At 46.5% G+C, this 24604-nt stretch overlaps 1 long non-coding RNA gene across 4 annotated transcripts, besides 1 other annotated feature; it reads right to left on the bottom strand.

The window, feature by feature from the left end:
- LOC105373604 (uncharacterized) lies at positions 11549-21681 on the bottom strand. Of its 4 annotated transcripts, XR_001739696.3 has the most exons (4): positions 20899-21681; positions 15871-16098; positions 14403-15074; positions 11549-13234 (listed from the first exon to the last, which is right to left on the bottom strand). It is a non-coding gene; the product is annotated as an uncharacterized LOC105373604 (long non-coding RNA). The 4 variants fall into 4 exon arrangements; XR_001739695.3 differs by having other exon boundaries at positions 11549-15074; XR_001739697.3 differs by having other exon boundaries at positions 11549-15061.
- Positions 21731-22330: an enhancer, noted in NCBI's record as "H3K27ac-H3K4me1 hESC enhancer chr2:127782155-127782754 (GRCh37/hg19 assembly coordinates)". NCBI's record gives its function as "activates a minimal SCP1, AML or CMV promoter by ChIP-STARR-seq in primed H9 embryonic stem cells {active_cell/tissue: H9 hESC(primed)}" and the evidence as "EXISTENCE:reporter gene assay evidence [ECO:0000049][PMID:30033119]".

Genomic DNA, 24604 nt, shown 5'->3' with positions numbered 1-24604 from the left:
CAGTTGGGACAGAGCCTCTTTCTGGTTGCCCCTGCTTGGAGATCTCCCACCTTTCCTACCTTCCTTCACTCCCTCCTTCATCCCTTCCTCCTTGACAGCCTCATTTCCCCTGCCCAAGGTCCATAGTGCATTGTGGGTGGAGCCGGCTTGGAGCCCAGCCCACTTCTGAGCCTGGGTGCACGTGCCCTGGGCTCTGTGAGGTGTGAAGCCACAGTGCCATCATGGGAAGTCTTTGCTTTTATTTCAACCTGAAAATTCAAAACAAAACAAAAAAACAAAAAAACCCACCTCATCTAAAATACATTATCCAGGAGAAAGCATTTAGATTAGGTTTTTGACAATATAAGATTCCAAGATATGTTCCATGGCAGCTTTCAGCTTTACCCCCAGCCCTCGCCGCTGGGGTAAGGAGCGGCCCTGCTCTGTACCACAAGGTCAGGGCCTGCAGGGAGCTTCTTGCCAGAGGGAGCAGGGCCAGGATCGGGGCTGGGGAGCCTGCGGATCCAGAGGGAGGGAGGCCAGGTGTGAGGTTCCCATCCTGCTGGGGAGGGGCAGCGGCCCAAAGTCTGAACTGAGATGTGTGTCTGGGAGCCGGGGAGTCAACTAGGTTCATGGCAGTGCAGGGGGCATTCAGAGCCAGGCAGCGTGAATAAACAGGCCAGTGAGCTGAAGGGCCGGGCAGAGCAGAGGGCCCAGGCCAGGACAGGGTGGAGGAAATAGCAACAGGTGGGGTGAAGGTGGCCCATGGTGGGGGCCGGGAGAGGTGCGGGCTGCTCTCCATGCCTGGCAGCTGGACGTGCAATGTCCCGGAGGGCTTGGCAATCTGGCTTGATTTGGGCTGACGTGGCCACGGAGGCCCAGACCCTGGGCAGGGCTCCTGACTCTCAGAGCAGGCAGGCCGGGCTGTGGGTTCTGGGACCCAACTGAGGCTGGAGGCTCTTGCAGACCCCACACCCTGGGAGGGCCAAGCACGAGCTTGGGAAGAGGCCCACCCTGGGCAGCCCTCTGTGTGGCTCCCCTCCAGCCTCCCGGAGCCAGCGTGTGGCGGGAGTGACAGTGGCGGTTTGGAGCCAGGACTGGAGAGAGGTCTAGGAAGGCCGCCTCTTGTGTGGGGGCTGTGGGGTGGGCTGCAGCAGCCCAGGTGCCTGAGGGAGGGCCAGGCCCTGCATAGAGGCATTCTCATGGCTTCCTGGAAGGTGTGGGCCCCTTTTGAAACCCCATGAAAATCTTTAGAAAATCGGTTTACTTATTTATTACTCTGTGTTACAAACTCATTTGCTGGCAGGAGCAGGATTTTGAGTCATGGGACTTGGCAGCTAAAATTATCACACACACCCCCTGTCAGTGCAAATGGCCCCGAGGCCTCAGGCTCTGCACCAGCTCCGCCGTCAGAGGCTCTCAGAAGTGTCCTTCCGGTGCAGGGAGCGACCCCCTGCTCCCCGCCCTCCTGCCAGCTCCCCGGTCTTCCACCGCGGCCCCAACACTGGCCCTGCTGCTGGCCCGGCCTCTCAGCCCTTGTCCTTGATTGGATATGATAATCATGTTGGTGTCGCTTCTCTCAGTTTTGCTGGCCTGAAGACCCTTGGCCATGCCTCTGGGGTTTTAAATGCCCATACTCCTGGCCTCAGTCACCCCAACACCAGGCCGCATGTGGGGACGTCATGAGGGGTGGCCAAACACTGGGTCCCTCTGCTCAGCAGCTGTGGCTGGCGTGCTGGGTGCTGGGTGGCTGTGGCTCAGGTCCTCCGAGATGCTCTCGGCCTCCTTGGCGCCTGGGCAGCAGCTTCATCTTGGGGCTGAGTAGTTCCGAGTTTGATGCCAGCACACTTCCTTCCGAGAAGCACCCCGGAAAGTATTTGTGTGTGTGTGTGTGTGTGTGTGTGTCATTGAACCCTGAGCCAGTTGCTGTGGCCTGGGGTGGCACTTGCAGATTTGCTTAAGACAAATAGGATCTGGAGCTGGAGGTGGGCTGAACTGGGTGAGGGAGGCATGAACACCTGAATGAAAATCGGGGTGAGGCTTCTGAGGAGAAGGGGAGATAGGTTCTAGGAGCTCAGATCTGGGAATGTGCACTCCACGGTGGCTTCCAGAAAGGGCCCTGAGACTAGGTAGCTTGCCTAGATGGGAACTGCGAGGAGATGTGTGAATGTGTGTGTGAGTGAATATGAATGTAAATGTGTGTGGATGCGTGTGATTGTTAGTGACTGTAAGTGTACATGTGTGACTGTGTGTGAATGAGTGTGTGTGAATGTGTGAGTGTAAATGTGTGAGTGAATGGGTGAATGTGAATATGTATGAGTATAATGTGTGAACATGTGTGTAAATGTGGGAGTGTGAATGTGTGTGAATGGGCAAACGTGAATGTGTGTGCGAATGTGTGTGCATGTGAGTAAATGTATGTGTATGTGAGTGTGAAGGTGTGAGTGTGAATGTGAATGGTCAGAGAATGTGAGTGTGAATGTGTATGGTGAGTGTGAATGTGTGTGCGAGTGTGTGCATGAGAATAGGTGTGAATGTGTGAGTGTCGATGTGTGTGACTGTGAAGGTGTGGGTGTGAGTGTGAATGTGTGTGAATGTGTGTGAAGGTGTGGGTGTGAGGGTGAAGGTGTTGGTGAGGGTGAATGTGTGTGAATGTGAGTGTGAAGGTGTGGGTGTGAGTGTGAATGTGTGTGGAATGTGTGAGTGTGAATGTGAATGTGTGAGTGTGAAGGTGTGTGAATGTGAATGTGAAGATGTGGGTGTGAATGAATGTGTGTGAATGTGTGTGAATGTGTGAGTGTGAAGGTGTGGATGTGAGTGTGAATGTGTGAGTGTGAAAGTGTGGGTGTGAGTGTGAACGTGTGTGAATGTGTGAGTGTGAAGGTGTGAGTGTGAATGTGTGTGAATGTGTGAGTGTGAATGTGTGAATGTGAGTGTGAAGGTGTGGATGTGTGAATGTGTGTGAATGTGTGAGTGTGAATGGTGAGGAGAATGTGAATGCGTGTGTGCATGTGAATAGGTGTGAATGTGTGAGTGTGAATATGTGTGAAAGGGTGAGTGTAAATGTTAGTGTGAATGGGTCAGTGAGTGCGAGTGTGCGTCTGTGTGTAAATGTATGAATGGTTGTGTGTGTGAATGTGTGCACGAGTGTGCGTGCGAATGTGTGCACGTGTGAATGGCTGAGTGAATGGCCAGTGTGCATGGGAATGGGTGAGTGTGAATGGGCGAGTTCACGTGTGACGTTTCTGGGACCCTTGCTTGGTTCACTTTATCCAGCCTATAGCGGGCCTAGGGCAGCGGGAGGGCGGAATGCAGCCGGGCAGGTTTGCTCCTTCGTGTTCCAGGGGAATGCTCACCCGACGGCCCCCGCTCCTGGTCTCAGAAGCTCCTCCGCTGGAGACAGGGTAGACGGCTGAGCCCCTCCTCGGCTGCGCTGTTTGGAGGCTTGTGCGCTGGGGATGTGCTGCATCTGTAGATCCAGTGTCCCAAATGGTGATTCCGTCACTTCCGTATCCATTCATTCATTGGCTGTTCCCCAGGCCCGCACTGAACTACAGAGAAGATTAAAATGCATTCCTCAGTGGACTCGGGACTGCTAGACTAGAGAGGATGGAGGCGGCAGAGCTGAAAAGCTCCCCATTGGGTTCAACGCTCACGACTTGGGCGATGGGATCAACCATACCCCAAACCTCTGCATTACGTAATACACCCGGGTAACAAACCTGCACGTGTCCCCAATTCTAAAAGAAAATTTGAAAAAGAGAAAATAACATCATAAAATGTGGTTCCTACCCATGATGCGTGCACAGCCTGGGGGAGGCAGAGCAGCCACGGCCACAGCGGTGTGTCTGGGTGGTGCGTTTGAGGTTCCGGGGACAGAAGTGGAGCCGCCACCTGGCTTCGCACAGGGTAGGTGCCCCGGTTGAGGGGCTGGCACCTGGGAGGCCACCTCGGGCAGGGGCAGCCAGTGGAACAGGCAAGCGGACCTCAGGTTTGTTGAGCTGGGGAGGCCTGGAGCTCAGGAGAGAGACGGGCCGGGAAGAGGCGAAGGTGCTGGGAGAGCTTGTAGAGGAGGCGGAAGGAGGACCGGAGCAGCTGGTGACCACCACATTTAAGAGGAAGGAAGCTGGCCAGGCGCGGTGGCTCATGCCTGTAATCCCAGCACTTTCCGAGGCTGAGGCGGGTGGATCACCTGAGGTCAGGAGTTCCAGACCAACCTGGCCAATATGGTGAAATCCTGTCTCTACTTAGAAAAAAACAACCAAAAAAACCTCAAAAATTAGTCTGGCATGGTGATGCACGCCTGCAATCCCAGCTATTCAGGAGGCTGAGGCAGGAGTATTGCTTGAACCCAGGAGGCAGAGGTTTCAGTGAGCCGAGATCGAGCCACTGCACTCCAGCCTGGGTAACAGAGTGAGACTCCATCTCAAAAAAAAAAAAAAAAAAAAAAAGAAAGGCGGAGGCAAGCCTGTAATCCTAGCACTTCGGGAGGCCGAGGTCGGGGGATCACCTGAGGTCAGGTGTTTGGACCAGACTGACCAACAAGGTGAAACCCTGTCTCTACTAAAAATACAAAAATTAGCTGGGCCTGGTGGCAGGCGCCTGTAATCCCAGCTACTCAGGAGCCGAGAATCTCTTGAACCAGGGAGGCAGAGGTTTCAGTGAGCTGAGATCGCGCCACTGCACTCCAGCCTGGGCGACAGAGCGAGACTCTGTCTCAAAAAAAAAAAAAAAAAAAAAAAAAACAAAACGAGGGAAGCAGGAGGTTTCACAGGCACTGCCTGCCAAGGAGCTATTCAGTGCCATCCTTAGGAAGAGCTCCCTCCTCAAGAAGCAGCTGTGGTGGATGGGGCTGAGAAGGCTGGAAGACTGAGGACAGTGGCCTTGCCCACCTGCTCTCAGGCCCTGGGGATCCACAGAGGGGCCGCTGTGGAACACAGGCCGGGAACACAGGTGGGCTGCTGCCACCGGTACTCCTCACCCTGATTATGCAGAAGAGCAAATCACTGAGGAAAGGCCCTTCTTAGCGCAATTAAAAAGGATAATTAACAACGGGTGAGAAAGCTGCCTTCCTGACAGCCTCCGATGACAGTGAGCATCGGCTGCTGGAGGGAGAAGGGCAAAGGCATGCTCCTCTTTTCCTAGACAGCCACGGCCAGTGCACAGGGGCAGAGAGCATCCTCCAGGCTTGTCACGAAGAGGCTTTGAATCCCAGGCTGGGCAGAGACTTAAAGGCCCCTGTCAATCAGCCTGGGGTGCTTATCTCATGTCCCTGCCCCGTGTGACCTGCAGGGGGTGGCTGGAGAGGGGGCACAACTCTTTCTTGAAGGAAAGGATAGGCTGGAGGTGGGCCGAGGTTGGCACACAGATGCCATTCAGAGCTAAGGCGACAGATTTTTGTCTCCCGGAAGCTGGTGCATCTCCACCTACTTGCAAGCTGCCGGGTCTAGAGGACATGCACTTTCCATGGATCAGAGTCACAGATGGCCTGGAAGCTCCTGGGAAGCCATCCTTCATTAGGAATTGAGGGCCCGAATCTGTGGCTCAGGGCAGTGTTCTCACCTCCAGGTATCCAGCTGCCCATCTTCCCCCATGCACGTGGGCACCTTGAACTTGAAGTGCTTCTAAGCTGACTTGTCCAGTGTGGGCCGTCCTTGGACTCATTCCACACCCTCCTCCTGGAGCAGATGTTGCTAGGTGCACACCCAATACTCATCCCCTCCGCCTGCCCAACTGAATTCTGGTTTTGTTCAGGGTACCAATGCAGTCCGCTAAAGTCAGTCATTTTCCCAGCCTTCCTCGCAGCTGTGGGTGGCCTTATGACATAGTCCTGGCCAATAAGATGGGAGAGGGCATCCCTTCGCAAAGAAAACATCAAAGCCTTGTTAAGAAAAAGGCCTTTGGGCCGGGTGCAGTGGGTCACGCCTGTAATCCCAGCACTTTGGGAGGCCGAGGCAGGCAGATCACTTGAGGCCAGGAGTTCAAAACCAGCCTGGCCAACATGGTGAAACCCCATCTCCACCAAAAATACAAAAATTAGCCGGGCGTGGTGGTGTGCACCTGCAGTCTCAGCTACTTGGGAGGCGGAGGCAGGAGAATTGCTTGAACCCAGGAGGCAGAGGTTGCAGTGAGCTGAGATCGCACCACTGCACTCCAGCCTAGGAGACAGAGCAAGACTCCGTCTCAACAACAACAACAACAAAAAAAAAAAAAAAAAAAAGAAAAAGGCCTTTGCCTCCTTCTGCCTGGAATGAGGGCGGGAGGTGCAGCAGCCATCTTATGACCCTGAGGCCACACTCAGGAGGATGAAGAGCCACTCACTGAGGATGGCAGAGCGAGAAGGTGGGATATGGCTTTGCAGAGAGTATGCAGTCCAACCCCATTTCTTTCCTGGCTTGTTTTTGTATGAAACAAATAAAGGCATCACATCTGTGGGGGTTTTGTGGCTTGAAGCCTCCCTGATTGCTGCCATGTCCTGCCCGAGTCCTCAGATTTGGCCTCTTAGAGAGTTCTGCATAGGTTTCTCCCTCTGCACTGGCCCCTCCTAGTTCAGGCCTGGTTAGGCCTGCAGCCTCTGAGGTATCTTCCTCTAGGCCAGTCCCTGGAGGGCACCGTGGCTGCCAGGGTGGTTTTCCTGAACCTCCTTTCTGGCCTCATTGCCCTGTGTTCCAACCCTCCAATAACCTCCATTTCTCATGCAAGCCCAGATCCCTTAACCAGCTCCTTCAAGCTCTGGCCCCTGAACAGCTTTTCAGCCCCATCTTCCACCAACCCCCGTCTGGAATGGCCTGTCCTGGTAACCCAGATGAGCTGCGGGTCTGCTTCCCAGTGTCTGCCTTTCCTCTGCCAGGCTGTGGTCCTGCATCTCTGAGGTGCCCTCCCCCTCCCAGCTGATTCCCCCTCCCTTCCAGGGTGCACAGGCCCAGCCCAAGGGGGGCCTGCCTCCTCCGGGTGCGCTGGTTTGTCCACCTGTCAGTCGCGGCACTGGTCGCACTACGTGTACCTGCAGTTGAGCTGCCCATTTTTCTGACCCCACCCGGACACTGCCTCCTGTGCAGCTCTGTGGCCCAGGCCAGGGTCCAGGCTCAGAGTGTGGATGACATGCTCTGCTTCACTCTGCTGGGGCCCCTGCCATGTGGCCACTTGCTGCTCACTGCAGAAGCCACAGGGCACTGTCCACTAATAACTAGAGAAAATGAGTCATAATTCCCTCGCCCCAACCCAGCAATCTTTTTCATTTTTGCCTGTGTGAATTGAAGCTTTTAAAAACTCAAGGGCAGGCTCTGGCGTTTCTCCTGGCCACATTTCACCTGGTTAGAGTTGACCCGGCAGTTGGGTGTTGTTGGCTCTCTGCATGCTCTGAGTCGGCCATAGCAGCCTGTGTCCTAATGTGGTCCAAGCCTGTCATCCAGACTGAGCCCAGGTGGGTGGACAGATGGAGGAACAGGCAAACCCACTATGTAACCTCCAGTAGCCTACTTACAGACCACAAACCCAGCTTCCGCATCTTTTTTTTTTTTGAGATGGAGTCTCGCTCTGTCGCCCAGGCTGGAGTGCAGTGGCACAATCTCAGCTCACTGCAACCTCTGCCTCCTGGGTTCCAGCGATTCTCCTGCCTTAGCCTCCCGAGTAGCTAGGATTACAGGCACATGCTACTATGCCCAGCTAATTTTTGTATTTTTAGTAGAGATGGGATCTCACCATGTTGGCCAGGCTGGTCTTGAACTCCTGACCTCAAGTAATCTGCCTGCCTCGGCCTCCCAAAGTGCTGGGATTATAGGCGTGAGCCACCACGCCTAGCCCAGCTTCCCCATCTTTAAGTGAGGAGGTTGGATGACACGATGCACTGTAATAAAATCATTAAACTCCACCCACAGAGCCTGGGGCACACCACGATAGACTCTCGCCCTTCACTGTCTTAGATATTCTCTTTCAGAATGTTGATTTTTCCAACTTTTATCCCTTTTTTTTTTTTTAAATTTCAGATAGGGTCTTGCTCTGTCGCTTAGGCTGGAGTGCAGTGGTGTGATCGTAGCTCACTGCAGCCTCAACCTCCAGGGCTCATGTGATCTTCCCTACACAGCCTCCTAAGTAGCTGGACTACAGGTGCCCACCGCCACACCCAGCTAGTCTAATGTCTCCTTGATGTCCTGCAATCTGCTAATCTTTCTCTGTTTTGTTCACAAGAATTTTATGAGAGACCATGAGGTCCCACAGCAGGGATCTCACATTTTAAGATGTGTGTCCATAATTTTTTGAGCCAGCAGAAAGCATCCACACAAATGTGAGCATCTTTCGAGGTGGAGTGCCATGTGTGTGTCCTTATTCTAACAAAGGCTGTGGCTGTGCAGAAAATTCCAGAATTTCCTCGCTGGGATACACCTTCAGGCTAGCGGCAGTGTTGTTCAGATACATTCCATGCTAATGGGGTAAGATCTTCTGTCAGGGAATTTGGTGTTTGTGTAATAATAAGAAAATTTCTGTTTGAAAAGTGGCCTACAGGTTGAAGTTGGAATGGATTAGAATAGAAAGAAGCAAAACATTCCTCTGATGGAGTCACAAGGTCATTTGTTGGAAAAAAAATGACCTTAGAGAGCATGATTGGTTCTGAAAGCTAATCCGCCCTCCCCATGGGCTGGGTGGGAGAAACCAAAGAGGCGACTTGTTCTATCTGAAAAATGAATGACAATTTTGCCCTGCCTGTGGGGGACAGATGAGGGAGGTGGGTGGAGGACCCCCAAAAAGGGGTGGGGTAGGAAGAGCATGAGGAGGAGAGTGTGGAGGGAGAGAGGGGCCTGAGGAGATGGCCTTTCACCAGGCCTGAAGATGGGCCAAGCCTCGAGAAATCTCCTGGGCAGCAAACAGCAGGTGAGTCTGTAGGACACCCACAGCTCCTACTCAGTTGTAAGTTACTTCTAGTTCTGTGCTGGGCTGAACATCCCACCTTTAACCCTACACCCTGTGCGTGTCTGTGTTCCTTCGAAGGACTCCAGGAGTTGGCTGAGTTCCACACTAGGTCTGACCCAGAGCCAAGAGGAGAGTTGCTACAGGAGAGGAGAGGGGTTTGACCCAGCAAAGGGAGAAATGCAACCTTCCCCAGCCCTGCCTGGAAAAGGTCCTAGGAGGGAGAGGGGCAGGAATTGAAGTCCTCACAATATATAGGAAGGTACCTTGAGCAGTTTTATTTGAGAGCAAAGAAGAGGATGATCCCAGAAGATACAAGGGCACAGGGCCAATGAAAAGGCAGATATTTGGGTTGCATCCAGGAACTTGGAGGCAGATGTTGAGTTGTCAAGAGCTGGGCTCTCCAGCTGGAAGCATCTAGCCTTTATGGTGAGACATTGCCTTGGGCTGCAGTTTTTCTTCCTATAAGATGGTGGCCATAATACTTAACTGACAGGGTTGTTGTGTGAAGTAAGAAGTATTACAGGACAATTTTTTAAAAAAATAAAGTCATTCGGCAGGGCGCAGTGTCTCACACCTATAATCCCAGCACTCTGGGAGGCTGAGGTGGCTGGATCACTTGAGGCCAGGAGTTTGAGACCAGCCTGGCCTACATGACAAAACCCCATCTTTACTAAAAATACAAAAATTAGCTGGGTGTAGTGGTGTGCATCTGTAGTCCTAGCTACTCGGGAGGCTGAGGCACAAGAATCACTGGAACCCAGGAGGCAGAGGTTGCAGTGAGCCAAGATTGTGCCACTGTACTCCAGCCTGGGTGACAGAGTGAGACTGTGTCTCAAAAAAAAATTATACATATACATATACGTATATATACGCACACATCTCATACAAAGAGAAAAGCTACACATTTTATTTAACTAATTAACAAGGAAGCGGTAAGATGTTACAGGCAGTTTAAATGAGAACTGGATGTACAGAGGTTTATATTTTCTACTGGACAAGATGCATGTGCGTTGCTTTGGCCCAGAATTATGTGCATAGCTAGGAACAGGAAACTTCTGCATCTTCAGCAGCCCCACACGAGCTGATGCTGTCTCTGCAGAACTGCAGAACAACCCTGCCCAGAGAATTGAAGGCATGTGTCCCCACGGAATCCGACAATCCCTGAGGGTCCCTAGCCACTGCCCAGAATCCATCAAAGGGACACTGAGTTTTTTGCCCATGTAAAGCCTATAACAACTGAACAATCTTTGTCTCCCTGCCCCAGGATCACAACAGTCTCCAAAAATGATTCTCGATCACAAGACAATGGGTCTCAGTTTGGCCTATTTACACAGGTGCAGTGAGAATGTTCTAGACTTTCCAGACCTCCTTGGGTTAGCTTTCTTATTTTTTTAGGTAGAGTCTCACTCTGTTGCCCAGGCTGGAGTGTAGTGGCATGATCTCAGCTCACTGCAACCTCTGCCTCCCGGGTTCAAGTGATTCTCCTGCTTCAGCCACCTGAGTAGGTAGAATTACAGGCGTGCGCCACCATGCCCAGCCAATTTTTGTATTTTTAATAGACATGGGGTTTCACCATTTTGGCCAGGCTGGTCTTGAACTCCTGACTTCAAGTGATCTGCCCACCTTGGCCTCCCAAAGTGTTGGGATTGCAGGCATGAGCCACCGCACCTGGCCTGTAGCTTTCAAATCTAGAGTGCTGTGCAGCATTAAGCAACTGCCATGGCCCTGGAATTCGCTCCTGTCTGAATAGAAAATCTTAGCTGGGATTTATAAAAGCCTCTTTTATCTGCTGGGAAACCGAGTTCAAGGAACTGTCACCACCAGCTCTCACCTATGTATCTGTAACTTTGGATGGCTTCCTCGCTTCTCAAAGTTCCCTACATCAGTTGATGCTTGCTCCTGGCCTGCAGGAAACCACCTTTCCTACCACCTGTGAGGCTAGGACTCAAGGGCCCAGCATGTTCTCCTGCAGTAGCTTTGTGGCATCAATTCTGTATAAAAGTGGCTTATCCCACCTGATTAAATGAGACTCACCTCCAATTATGACAACCCCACAATAACCCTTATTGCTTAATGCTGTTTTATCCCAGCAAAAGAAGAAAAGTTCTCCATTGAATTTATGAAAATAACTATATTTCCATGAAAACTTAAGACTAAGTCATTTTCTGAGTTCTGGAGGGTTAGTGAAAATAAGAAACTATTTTACAAATGTTTCTTTTCAATTGACAAAAGCAAAGTCTATTAAATTGTAGGTTAAAAAGGAAGAGAAGGAGCTTCCTCACAGATCTAGAAATGAAAGAACATCAAAGCAACATCAGCAATATTCCAAAAAATAACCAAGACAAAATTGCCTCATTCAATCCTAAGTAATAATTCCTGTTCTCTGGATCCAGTCAAGAGAGAACTTTTAGGGAGCCTCTGCTCTGAGCTTAGAGGCCTAGAAGTCATGACTCCGTCTGATGGATGATCTGAAGGTGGCCTAAGTGAGGTCCGCTCAGGAGCGTGTCCCCGCGAGGTGATTCACTGTAGCATCCTCAGCTTAGAGCCCCTGCATGTCCTCTTGAGCCTCTGAGGCTGCCCCTTGTGGAAGGCACAGCCGCTCACCAGTGGCTTACAGCAGAGTCCCAGGTGCACATCAGAGTAAATACAAAACTACTGGTAGTTGACTGTTGGTTAATTTATTACAGCAACCGCAGGAAAGTAAGATTCTCTACTGGGAAATAACTATTTCATAAGCATTTTGATCAGTGTCTCACTAAAGGTAAAGCATACAATGGACGGCGACGAGGGCACTGGCAAAGCTTCAGGGCCTTCCTACAAAGTGTGCAGTGTCTGAACTATTTATAATGAGTTTACTGATACAAACTTAACCTAGGGAGGCTGAGCATCTCTTCAGATGCTGATTAAAGAATAATAAACATAATTACTTCTGGCCTCTCTTGCTCTTGCTTCATAGGGTGAAAGTACAAATCTCGTGAATTTCCAGGGGCCCTCTGGGAAGTTTCAAAGAATGTTTTAGTTCAAGATAAAAAGTTTTCTTTTACTCTTTCTATATTTAGGATCTGATCTCTAGAAGGAAAAATCAAAAGAGTTGTCAGAGAAGATTTAGGCACTTGACTCAGAGCATATCATGGGTGCTGAAGAAATAATTCTTGCTTACTCTTTTAATAATGCAAACAAATGTAAAAGTAAACAGAAGGTGACATGAGTTTAAAGAATCATCTCTTTCACAAGTGAGTTTTTGTATTGTTTTGTTTAAATACTCAAGGACTGAATGAAGTCAGCATAAGGCACAGAAATTTTTCTGGCAAGACACACACTTTTGCTGTCAGGCAGACCACAAGGAAGGTAAAGAATAGCCTTTGTGCTGCAGGTCAGTGGTCCCCAGCCTTTCTGGCGCCCGGAACCGGTTTCATGGAAGACATTTTTTCCACGGACTGGGATGGGGGGATGGTTTCTGGATGATTCAAGCACATTACATTTATTGTACACTTTATTTCTATTATTATTACATTGTAATATATAATGAAATAATTATACAACTCACAATAATATAGAATCAGTGGAGGCCTGAGCTTATTTTCCTGCAACTAGATGGTCCCATCTGGGGGTGATGGGAGAGAGTGACAGATTGTCAGGCATTAGATTCTCATAAGGAGCATACAACCTAGATGCCTTGCATGCACAGTTTACAATAGGGGTTCATACTCCTGTGAGAATCTCATGCCACCGTGACAGAAGGCAGAGCTCAGGCAGTACTGTGAGTGATGGGGAGCAGCTGTAACCACCGCTTATCTCCTGCTATGTGGCCCGGTTCCTAACAGGCCATGGACTGTTGCTGGACCATAGCCCGGGGATTGGGGACCCCTGCTGTAGATGAAGGCGGTGACCAGTAAGCCAAGGCGGCAAGCCCATCAAAAGTGAGGAAACTTTGCTAAGATCTAAGTTACTTCATGTCTCTTTTCAGACTCAGGTATTATAAACCAAGGCAAATAACATTCACTTCTTTAGACCTTCATTCACTGTGTTCATTCATATTCTGGAACAAAACTACTTTTCATTGCATGACAAAACAGAAGCACGCACACAGAGTTTTATTTGTCACTATTGCTTCGTGTACCAACCACCTATATGAAAGATAATTTTCATCCAAAGTAACCAACTTCTGTTTCACAGAAAAAGCTGAGGAGGTGGCAGAAAATTGAGAGCTGCCCTACGCGAGCATTTCTGCAGGTGAGCAGATTGCAGGAGGGCACAGCCACTTGCCTCCAGATCCACGCGGGCCTCTTACTCCTTCAAGTGGCAAACACGAATATGCCCATCAACACAACTCAAAGATCCAGGCTTTCTGCAGAATATAAAAATAAGGAGCAAAAGTGGATAAGCCTAAAAGTAGGCTTAGCAATCCATGTTTTAGTGTTATATCCTACTTCGTTTATCTAGGTATCTGATGATTATCTATTAATTAACTCCATTCAGGGTCAGGTTCTGATTTATCTGAAGATTCCAGGTTCTAAGTTATCTAAAGATCTTGGACATTTATTTAATTGGATAAATTATACTACAAAACATAGGTTGAGGTAACGGATGTGTCTAAATAGTGATTCAATTTAGAGTAATACCAATATTCAGTTTTCATAATAGTGACATTGTATTAGACTAATGTTATCTTTTTGATAAACTATTTAAGAAGACCAGATTATTCTCTTCATGAGAGATTTGATCAAATACACAATTGAATTATACTTAACACTGTAAATCAAAGACAAGACCAATCTGTTTTTTAAAAACCAAAATTATTAAGCTAGTTTGACTTGCCACAGATTTACCTTAGTTACAGGAACTTGGTTTTATAAAATGTATTTAAGGTAGCAGTTTCTGTATGAAGGATATTTTAAAAAGCCTAACACATTGAAAGCACTAGAAGCTAGAAATATGAGATATATAAGATATATAAGTGCCTTTTTTCCTATAAACTAGTAAGAACAGAGCTCCTTTGATTTAAGAGACATAACTAATTTATTAATTTATTTCACACTCACATATCACGGAATCAAGGCTTTTCTCAGTTATAGACTTGCAGACACATGGATCACAGATGACAGACATATGGAGAGATTTTGGCTTTGGCCCTGCAAATTCAGCCACAGGCCAGAAGTAAGCAACACACCCTCTTACCAATCCCAAGTCTCAAAGAGCTGTGCTTTGCAGCGGGCACTAAATTTCTAACTGACTGGAGCTCAAAATAAACAAACAAGAAAGGACCAACAAACCGGATTTCCTGTTGTCTCTCACTTGAAAGGAATTAGATCTGTGTCATCCATCTACAGAGATGACTAAATGGTCAGGCCAAAAACCAAATTCTCAATCACTGTTGTCAAGAATAGGGAATAACTTATAGTCAGGAATAAACCAGAAATAAAACCACAGACACAAATTCAGTAAAGATTAGAAAAATAAAACTAGAGAAACAGAGAGTAAGTAAAATTAAAGTTCTGTGGCTGCTTGGAAGTCACCTTGGGAGGTGAGGGAGGACAGAGCTGAGGCTCTGGTGGCATCTGAAGTTCCCTTTGGCAACTGTGCAGCTCATCTGGCTCTGGCTGGTGAATCTACTGTGTATCTCATAGGACCAATAAAACTGCTAGAGGGTCATTTCCAAAAAGGTAGAATCATGACTCCCCTATAAATATAGAATGAATACATGTCAAATATTTTGATTAACTAGTAATTAACAAGAGAGCCCGTTCAAATATTTATCTCCCCCATTGGATAAAATCCATTTGCATTGCTATGAACACCTTTTGCATTACCACGGACAGAAAATGTCTGTATCACCCTCAGCCCTCCACAAGTTAGTTTCCGTCTCTACAGTGTTGCCAATTGGCCCAACTGAACAGTCAAAGTTGCGCACTCCCATAGAATCAGACAATTCCTGGAAGGTCCACTAGACAACAGCCGAAATTCCATGGAAAGGATCCCTGCCATCTTTTTTCTCCATTACAAGGTCTTTATCCTGGGACAAGGATGTTAGAAGTGCATCAGTCACCGAGCAGAGGCCAGTAACTAGGAGTGGCAGCTGCTTAACAATTTTTTTTCATACAGGTAGGTGCCATGGCTCTGAGTGTTGTCCAGAGTGGGCTGAATCCCTGGCTCCTCCGAGTTGACCTCTTTTTTCCTGGGGAAAGAGACTAAAAGTGTTGGTGAGAGTGGGGTCAGAGAGGGGTGGTAGTGGAGGGGGACATTGCCTGAGGACACAGGCTTGCGGCTTCCTGTAGGAATGTACACTTGGTTTTTCTATTTCCCTAGTTTTTCTGTGAAGTTGCCCGGAACATTCACAAATAAAATTTTATCTTGGGCTGGGCGCAGTGGCTCACGCCTGTAATCCCAGCACTTTGGGAGGCTGAGGCAGGCAGATCACTAGGTCGGGAGATCGAGACCATCCTGGCTAACACGGTGAAACCCCGTCTCTACTAAAAATACAAAAAAAAAAACTAGCTGAGCGTGGTGGTGGGCGCCTGTAGTTCCAGCTACTTGGGAGGCTGAGGCAGGAGAATGGCTTGAACCCAGGAAGCAGAGCTTGCAGTGAGCCGAGATCGTGCCACTGCATTCCAAAAAAAAAAAAAAAAAATTATCTTGAATGTGTTGGAGGAGTTGGCACAGAATTAAATACTATAATGATTTTTTAAAAATGAATATGCTTTTTTCCTTCTTGCAGAAGTGATTTTAAAAGTTCTCAACAACCAAAACAGCACAGGCAGCGACAATCAAGCTCCAGCACTGACCAATGAGAATCGATGTGAGCTGTGAGCACACTCACTCAAGTTGACTAGTCTATTTCCTTCCTGTACATTTCAGCTTGCTCCTTCCAGGAAAACCAGAAAATGCCCCAAGTGAGGACAGCCTCGGTAAATATCTCCTCTATGTTCTTTGAGGTCCATTTATCTATATTTTACTGTATATTTTAAAATATGGATTAACACTTACCTGCTAGTTTGCAGTTAAAATGAAGTACAGTGAATAGCAGTTAATTGCATGTCTGAAAACCCTCTCTTCAGACTGATCATCTTCTATGCGCTGTGTGGCTCTCTCATCCCCTATCGTCCACTCTTGCGCTGTTTCCAGTTTTAACGATCACAAACGTCACATCTGTAAGTTATTCTCTGTTTACATCTTTATTTATTTCCTCAGGATAAATTTTCCAAAATGGAATTGCTGGAACAAAGGGCATACATTTAAAAAATGTAACCATTTTATTTTAGAACACTTTGAGATCTGTAGGAAAATTATGAAGATGGTATGGGAGCAGTCCCATATAACCTGCATCCAGTTTCTTCTCTTATGTACATCTTATATTAGTAGGATTCATTTGTTACAATTAATGAGCCTATACTGATACGTTATTTATTTATTTGACACCAGGTCTTGCTCTGTTGCCCAGGCTGGAGGGCAGTGGTGCGATCTTGGCTCACTGCAATCTCTGCCTCCTCGGCTCAAGTGGTTCTCCCACTTCAGCCTCCTGAGTAGCTGGGGCTACATACCTGTGTCACCATGACTGGCTAATTTTTATATTTTTTATAGACATGGGGTTTCACCATATTGTCCAGGCTGGTCTCGAACTCCTGGACCCAAGCAATCTGCCTGCCTTGGCCTCTCAAAGTGCTGGGATTACAGGCGTGAGCCACTGTGCTGGGCCCTGATACATTATCATTAACTGAAATCCATACTTTATTCAGATTTCCTTAGTTTTTCCTTAATGCCCCTTTTCTGTCCCAGGACCCCATCCAGGATCCCATACTATGTGTGGTCATCACTTTTCCTTAGCTTCTCTGGGCTGTGATAGTTTCTCAGACTTCTCTTGCTTTTGACGACTTTGATAGTGTTGAAGGGTCAGGTCATTTTACAGAATGTTCCTCAAGTGGGATTTGTTTGGTGTTTTTTCTCATGGTTAGGTTAGGGTTTGGTGTTTTGGGATTGAAGACCACTGAGGCAAAGTGACATTTTCTTCCCTTCTATCAAGGGTGCATAGTGTCAACATGGCTTTTTACTGTTGGTGTTGACCTTGGTCACCTGGTTGAGATAGTGTTTAGTTTTTCCCTCTCTACCCCTTTCCACCTTGTGCTCTCTAGAAGGAAGTCACTACGCACACTCACACTTATGGGGTGGGAACTTAATGTTCCGTCTTCTTGAGGCAGAGGTATTACGCAAACTTTTTGGAATGTGTCTGCGTGATGTTTCTCTGTTATCTCTCATTTATTTATGTATTCAATTGTTCATTTATATCAGAATGGACCCAGGGTTATTGATCTTATACTCTGGGTTATAACTGAATGCTTTTTTTTTTTTTTTTTTTTTGGCTTAAATTGTTCCAGCTTTCACAATGGGAGCTCTTTCAATTGACTCTTTCGTCCCTTGCCAGGCCCCCATCATTGTGGGATATATATATATTTTCTTACTTTCTGGCACTATAAGATGCTCCAGGAAACATATTTCTTGCCTCAGTTCTAGATCCAGCCATTTCTCCAAGGAGCCCAGAGTACATCTTTTTAAAGGTTTTTGATACACATTGCCAAATTATCCACCAAAAAGCTTACAGAAAGTGAACAAGCCAGCCAGCAATGTGTGAGTGCTTATTTCTCATTACACTGCAATGATCTAAAAATAATATTTTGTCACTCCTTTGATTTGATTCCTTTAATAATTAGTGACTCTCTTTAATTTTTTAAAGTTTATTAGTGATTTGTGATTTGGTAAATTGTCTTTTCAGGTTCTTAACCCATCTTTCTCTCAGAGTGTTCACTTGTATCTTAACATTTTCATAAGAACTCTATATCTAGAATGTACATTAACCTGTGATTATCACATAAAATACAAATATTTGTCCTAGTATCTTATTTGCCTTTTGAAATTACAGACTTTCATTCTACTATAAAGACACATGCACACGTATATTTATTGCACAACTATTCACAGTAGCAAAGCCTTGGAACCAATCCAAATGCTCATCAGTGATAGACTAGATAAAGAAAATATGGCACATATACACCATGGAATACTATGCAGCCATAAAAAAGGATGAGTTCCTGTCCTTTGCTGGGACATGGATAAAGCTGGAAGCCATCATTCTCAGGAAACTAACACAGGAACAGAAAACCAAACACAGCATGTTCTCACTCATAAATGGGAGTTGAACAATGAGAACACACAGACACAGGGAGGGGAACATCACATACTGGGGCCTGTCAGGGGGTGGGAGGCAAGGGGAGGGATAGCATTTGGACAAATACCTAATGCATGTGGGGCTTAAAACCTAGATGACGGGTTGATAGGTGCCGCAAACCACTATGGCAGATGTATACCTATGTAACAAACCTGCACATTCTGCACATGTATCCAGAAGTTAAAGTAAAATAAAAAAAAGAAATTATAGATTTTAAAATTTAAAAACAATAAAAGACTTTTAATATGGGACATTTAAAACATATACAAAAGAGGATAATGTAATGAAGAACCTCATGTACATATTCCCCAATTTCAATAATTATGAACATTTTGTCATCTTTACTTGACCTACCTCTTCTCTCACATTATTTTTTTTAAACTGGAGTCTTTTCAAGTAAATCCCAGACAGTATGCCACTTTGCTTGTAAATACCACAGTATGTATCTTTAATTAACTAGAGCATTTAAAAAACAAGACCACCACACATTATCACACCTATCAACATTAAATTCGTTTCTTAATATCATCTAGTACACAATTAACGTTCAAATTCTCAAAAAGGTCTTTCAGAGTTATTTTGTCTCAATCAAGATCCAAACAAGACCCATACATTGTTTGGTATATCTTAAATATCCTTTGTTCTTTTTGCTTTATTCTTTATTATTTGTAGATGCCACTGGTTCCCTGGAGAAACTGGTTCATTGGATCTGTAGAATGGCCCTTATCCTGGATTTTGCTGATTGCAGCCTAGAGGGCTTTTAATACTTATTCTGCTGTGCCTCATATTTCCTATAAATTGGTGGTTAGATCCAGAGACTTGATTAGATTTAGGTTCACTTTTTAAGGCAAGAACACTTCCTAGGTGGCGCTGTCACTTTCTAATGGGTCCCATCAGTGAGACTCATCATATTTGTTCTACTTTTAGTGATGATAAGATTGATTAGTAGGTTCAAGTGGGGGTCCACCTGTCCCCCCACTGCAAGCTTCTTCATCAAGTTTACCTAATTGGCTGGTGTGGTGGTGCACGCCTGTAGTCCCAGCTACTTGGGAGGTTGAGATAGGAGGATCCCTTGAGCCCAGGAGTCCTGGGCCAGCCTGGGCAACACAGTGGGACCCTGTCTCTTAAAAAAATTTTTACCTTATCAACTCTTTGGCCCCTCTAAAATATAATTTTGAAGAGGAGGACAGAATGAATGCTTGATTTTTGTCCCTTCACCAATTTTAGAGTAATGTGTTAATGTCCTAACAAATTCCAGTGATGACCAAAGAGTTTTAGAAATGTTATTATAACTCACGGAGTTTTATATATTTGTTATGCTTCATTCCATTTCAATCACTTGACTTTTTGGTGCTCAATGATCCCATCTTAGGGCAGTGGGAGCCCTTTCAAATTGAATCGTGTGTGTGTGTGTAGTATGTATATGTCTGTCTGTGTGTGTGTGTGTGTGTATACATATATGCATTCAAAAATGTATACGGAAATGCAAAAGGCCAAGCCAAGCCACATTTTAAAAGAATAAGGTGGGAGAATTGAATCACCACACATCAAGACCTATTTCAAAGCTATGGTAATTAAGCAGCATGTTTTTGATCATAGACATACAGATGATTGACTCAAAATATAGGCTTCTGATACAGACCCATACATTAATAGACCTTTGGTTTATGATCTTGTAAATTACAAGCTTCTCAATAAATTGACAATAGAAATCCATGGGAAAAAAACTGGAATCCCAACTCACGCCATAATCTATTCTAGATGTATTAAAGGCTTTAATATGGAAGGTAAAGCTAAAGATTTTAGGGAAAAAAGCTGAATATCTTTGATATCTTTTAGTATCTTTGATATTTTGTTTTTTTTTACTATCTTTTAATAGTGAAAAATTTCTTAAACAAGAAAGATAAAAAGTATTATTAACTCTAGAACGGGAAAATAAGATAAACTGAGGTATTTTTAAAGTTGTATTGAGAGACCTGAGACCAGTGCCATCTGCACACTCTGTTTTCAGTTCGTGACTGGGCAAGTAAATGCATTGAAAACTCAACTTTCAGAAACTTTTATGTCAATTTGACAGTGTATTTTCCTTCCCTTCCTGCCTGCCTGCCTGCCTGCCTCCCTGCCTCAATGTATTTGATGTCTGCTTACTCTACTGATTAAAAAAGTGGGGCTTAGCCTGGGGGCAGTGGCGCATGGCTGTAATCCCAGCACTTTGGGAGGCTGAGGCAGGCTGATCACTTGAGGCCAGGAGTTCGAGACCAGCCTGGCCAACATGGGGAAACCCCGTCTCTACTAAAAATACAAAAATTAACCGGGCATGGTGGTGCCGTGCCTGTAGTCCCAGCTGCTCTGGAGGCTGAGGCAGGAGAATCATTTGAACCCGGGAGGCAGAGGTTGCAGTGAGCTGAGATTGTGCCACTGCTCTCCAGCCTGGACGACAGAGTGACTCTGAAAAAAAAAAAAAAAAAAAAGCGGGAGAGAGTGGGCTTAGGTTGCGAATGCCATTAAATTTTTTCAACAGTTTAATGTTTGAGCATTTCAGTGTGCCATTGATTGAAATAAAACAAACAGACAAACCAAAACTGGTCCACCGTCACAGATAATTTAATACATACTGAAATAGACAACATGAAATTCAAGAAATCAAGGAGTTGAGAAATGCCACTAATGAAAAAACAACATAGATGTGAAAATTGCAACACATTAACTTCAAAAGAATAGAAGAATCAGTTCAAATAAATCAAGAAAATGGGCAAAAACAGTGAACAGATACTTTACATAAGGATTTCCAATACCCTATCAGTGCTATCTTGCGGGAAATGAGCAGGAAGCCACAGGAAGCTGCAGCGTCAGCCGATCAGCAAGGGTTAAAGACGTCTCGCAATCCTGAAAGTAAGCAAGTACGCTGACCACGCTGTCTCTAGAAAGCGCTGATTGGAGAGTGAGCCACTCAAGACCTCTAAAAACCACTCAAGCCCCGGGCAGCATCCACCCACGATAAACCTTTCCGCGCCCCTAGCAGCAATGCACGCCTAGCCCTGAGCACCAATAAGGATGCTCAGGCAGGACCCGGATGGCGAGGCGGGGACCTTGGTAGCGGCGCCACTGGCTGCGGCTGCAGAGTGAGAACAAGCAAACGCCCCCCACCGGCAGGGTGGAAGGAAAATGGAGTGCGTTGGCGCTGCGGAGGAGTCACTGCGGTGAGGATGGCCCGGACACCAATTTGGGCACCCGCAGGCGCAGCTAGCCGGTGGGGCGCACCTGGGTCTCCTCCGGCTTCCGCGGGATATCTGCAGGGCGACTCCCTCCAGATTCAGTAAACGTCCTGCTGGGGGAGTCCTTCCCCTGCAAAAGGCCCGCCCCTGCCTCCCATGTCGTGGAGTTCGAGGCAGGGTCCCTGAAAGGGTCTTGGGGTGGGAGGAGTCCTGTGAGATCACCGAATGAGTCAGGGTCTGGCCTGGGTCCCAGGCCCAGGGGTCCCGAGGCCCTGGGGCAGCTGGGTAGCTCTGCTGGCCGCCCTGTGCGGGGACTCTCTACCTATGCAGGTCTGGTCGGACCTGGAGGCAGCGGGTTCTGCTGCTGCGAAGATTCCCAACGGCCGGTTGGGGAGGGGCTGCACAATCCTGGACCTCGCGGGAGTACAGGACCCGCAAAGGCAGGGGAGTCGGATCATGTGCCAAGAGCATCCCGGGGTCCCGGCTGCTGGCTTGGCTGCCCTGGTCATCGCTGCGGTTATGTGCCGTTGCTACCGCAGAGCAAGCGGCCCCGGTTCTTGAACCACACCTGCACTTGATGGTCCTGCAAGTTGAGTCTGACAGCCAGGGCCCCCGCTCCTTGTGGGCTGTTACCTGCTCTTTCCAGCCTGTCTCCAGCTCCGGCGGCTTTCCCTTACTGTAGACTGCACTTCCTGCCGCCGCCTCCTGGGAGAGCGTGGGATGGTGGGGGATAACTAGGTTCTGGCATCCTCACTCCTCCTGCCCACAAGCGATGGGATTTAAATCGCACTGTCCATGCTGTGCTCATCGAGGCCCACCCTGCTTTTACTAGGACCCTCCCTGCAGTCCCCACTCCCTCCTTCCCACGAGTCTTGCAGTCATGGATTAATCCCTTCATTATTGACCAGCTGCTGCAGGCAGGCCCTGTGTCGTCCTGTATCACTTTAACGTGACCTCATTAGTCTTTGATTTCTCCTTCACTTTCTGGTACAATAAGAGACTTGTATCCAGTCTCCTTTTGTACATTTTTTGCCCTAGACTTAGAATCAGCCAATTTCATTGGTAAATGTTATCTAGAGAGTTCAGCCGTGGAAGTGTGCTCATTGTTACTGGGTTTTCATTGCTTCTGGGTCTTTTCAGTGGACAGAACTAGAAAATATGTATTTTTTAAAGAGTAAAACACAATGTGAGTTCATACTGCAATTTCCAATTCACTTTTAAGATTACAAGATTTTTACTTAAACTTCCTTGATTTTATGCTATGTCATTTTTATACTGAAAATTATGGTTCCTAATGATGGAAACATAGTAATTTAATAAAAATGTCAATACTAATATATGGCTACTGAATGCCATTTATGATTTCTTTCCTTTTTTCTTTTCCTTTTTTTTATTGTCCATAGCATATCTCTCACTTGGGATGTATAGTCAAAATGCTGCGTTTTAAAGCCACTTTAAGTAATTGTTTGCTTTATGTGGTTATGCCACACACTTTATATGCAGGAAGACTCATTCATTTCAGTTTACTTTAATTTTTAAAAATCACATAAAACACTTATCGTCCTCCCAAACTCTCTATTTATCCAGTTACAGTCACAGAAATCTTGCTTCTGTAACTTCCCGTTCACCCTGTTTCTTTTTCTTCCCAATAGATAACCATTAAAACAGTTTGGTTTTGGGTTTATCTGCCCATGGTTTCTTTTGATAATATCAATTAATATCTATCTATGCACTGTGAACTGAATTGTATTTCCCCAAAATTGATATGTTGAGGTGCTAAGCCCCAGTGTGATGGTATTAGGAGGTGGGGCCTTCAGGAGGTGATTGGGGTTAGATGAGGTCATAAGGGTGGGGCCCTCATGTTGGGATTAGTGTCCTTATAAGAAGGGACACCAGAGAGCCTGCTTGTTCTCTCTCTTCACCATGCGAGGGCACAGTGAGCTGTCTGCAAGCCAGGGAGAGAGCCCTCATCCAGGAACAGAATCCACTGGCAGCTTGATCTTGGACTTTCAGCTTCCTGGAGTGTGAGAAATAAATTCTTGTTGTTTAGGTTACCCAGTGTATGGTGTTTTGTTGTGGTAGTCCCAGCTGACTAATGCTCTACTATCTAGCTACCTCTCTGTCATCTACTTCCCCATCACTTACCTAAAAATTACCAATGATAAATATTACTGTTTGCTTCTTTCCTTTGCTTATTTATTTTTCCCCATATCAGTATATAGAGACACTTCTCATTCCTAATTACAGCTGCTCCATATTCCATTGTGTGGATGAAGGATAGTTTATTTAATCAGTCAGTCCTGTGTACTGTTTTAAACCTTCATTGAGACTGTTTTTCTTACCATTTCAGTCATTTAAATAATATTTGAAAATGAAAAACTCAAGTAAATAATAAAAAATCCTCCCACAGTTTATTTTTTAAAATTTAACTTTTGTTTATCAGAAGTCCTTAAATGAGGCATTTAAAAAAATTCCGAGAGCCCGCAGTTATGAGCGTGCATGAGGCAACCGCGGTTGCCATCAGATGAGAATGCCCCCTGCTGGCTCTTCATGTATGACCCCAGGCCCCCTCAAGCCACTCACTGCTGTGCGGAGTGTTCCCCGGCCACCAGTTATCTGCCCTGCCGTGCGCTGATAATCTCACATGGTACAAATATACTGTTGAGCTAAATTAGGGTCTTGTAGAAGGTGCAAAGTTTTCTGAAGCGGTTAAATGTGACTTTGGTGAAATCCTCTGTGGAATAGGCACATCAGAATGGAACAATTTGGGCCAGGTACTGTGGCTTATGCCTGTAATCCCAGCACTTTGGGAGGCCGGGGTGAGAGGATCACTTGAGGTCAGGAGCTTGAGACCAGCCTGGCCAACATGCCAAAACCCTGTCTCTACTAAAAATACAAAAATTAACCTGGTATGGTGGTATGTGTCTGTAGTCCCAGCTACTCAGGTGGGTGAGGCAGGAGAATTGCTTGAAGCCAGGAGGTGGAGGTTGCAGTGAGCCGAGATCATGCCACTGCATTCCAGCCTGAGTGACAGAGTGAGACTCCATCTCAATTAAAAAAAAAAAAAAAAAGAACAATTTGAATATCAAAACCATGAGGCCTGGGATAGGGTATGATTGTACAGGACAAATTGAACATGAAGCCAGGAACACTTGGTCACACTCAATACTGTCTGCACATACTTTGTAGAAAAAATCATATCTTGACTCCCTGTTCATTCTAAGAGTTAAATGTAATCAACTCATGAGCTCTAACTTGGAGTTGAAAGGAAATACAGGTAGAGGAA

The sequence above is a fragment of the Homo sapiens genome, chromosome 2 (genome assembly GCF_000001405.40).
Source record: "Homo sapiens chromosome 2, GRCh38.p14 Primary Assembly".
In the NCBI taxonomy this organism is placed as follows: domain Eukaryota; kingdom Metazoa; phylum Chordata; class Mammalia; order Primates; family Hominidae; genus Homo; species Homo sapiens.
Note: the sequence above shows the minus strand (reverse complement) of the source record. Positions and strands in the feature narration are given on the sequence as shown.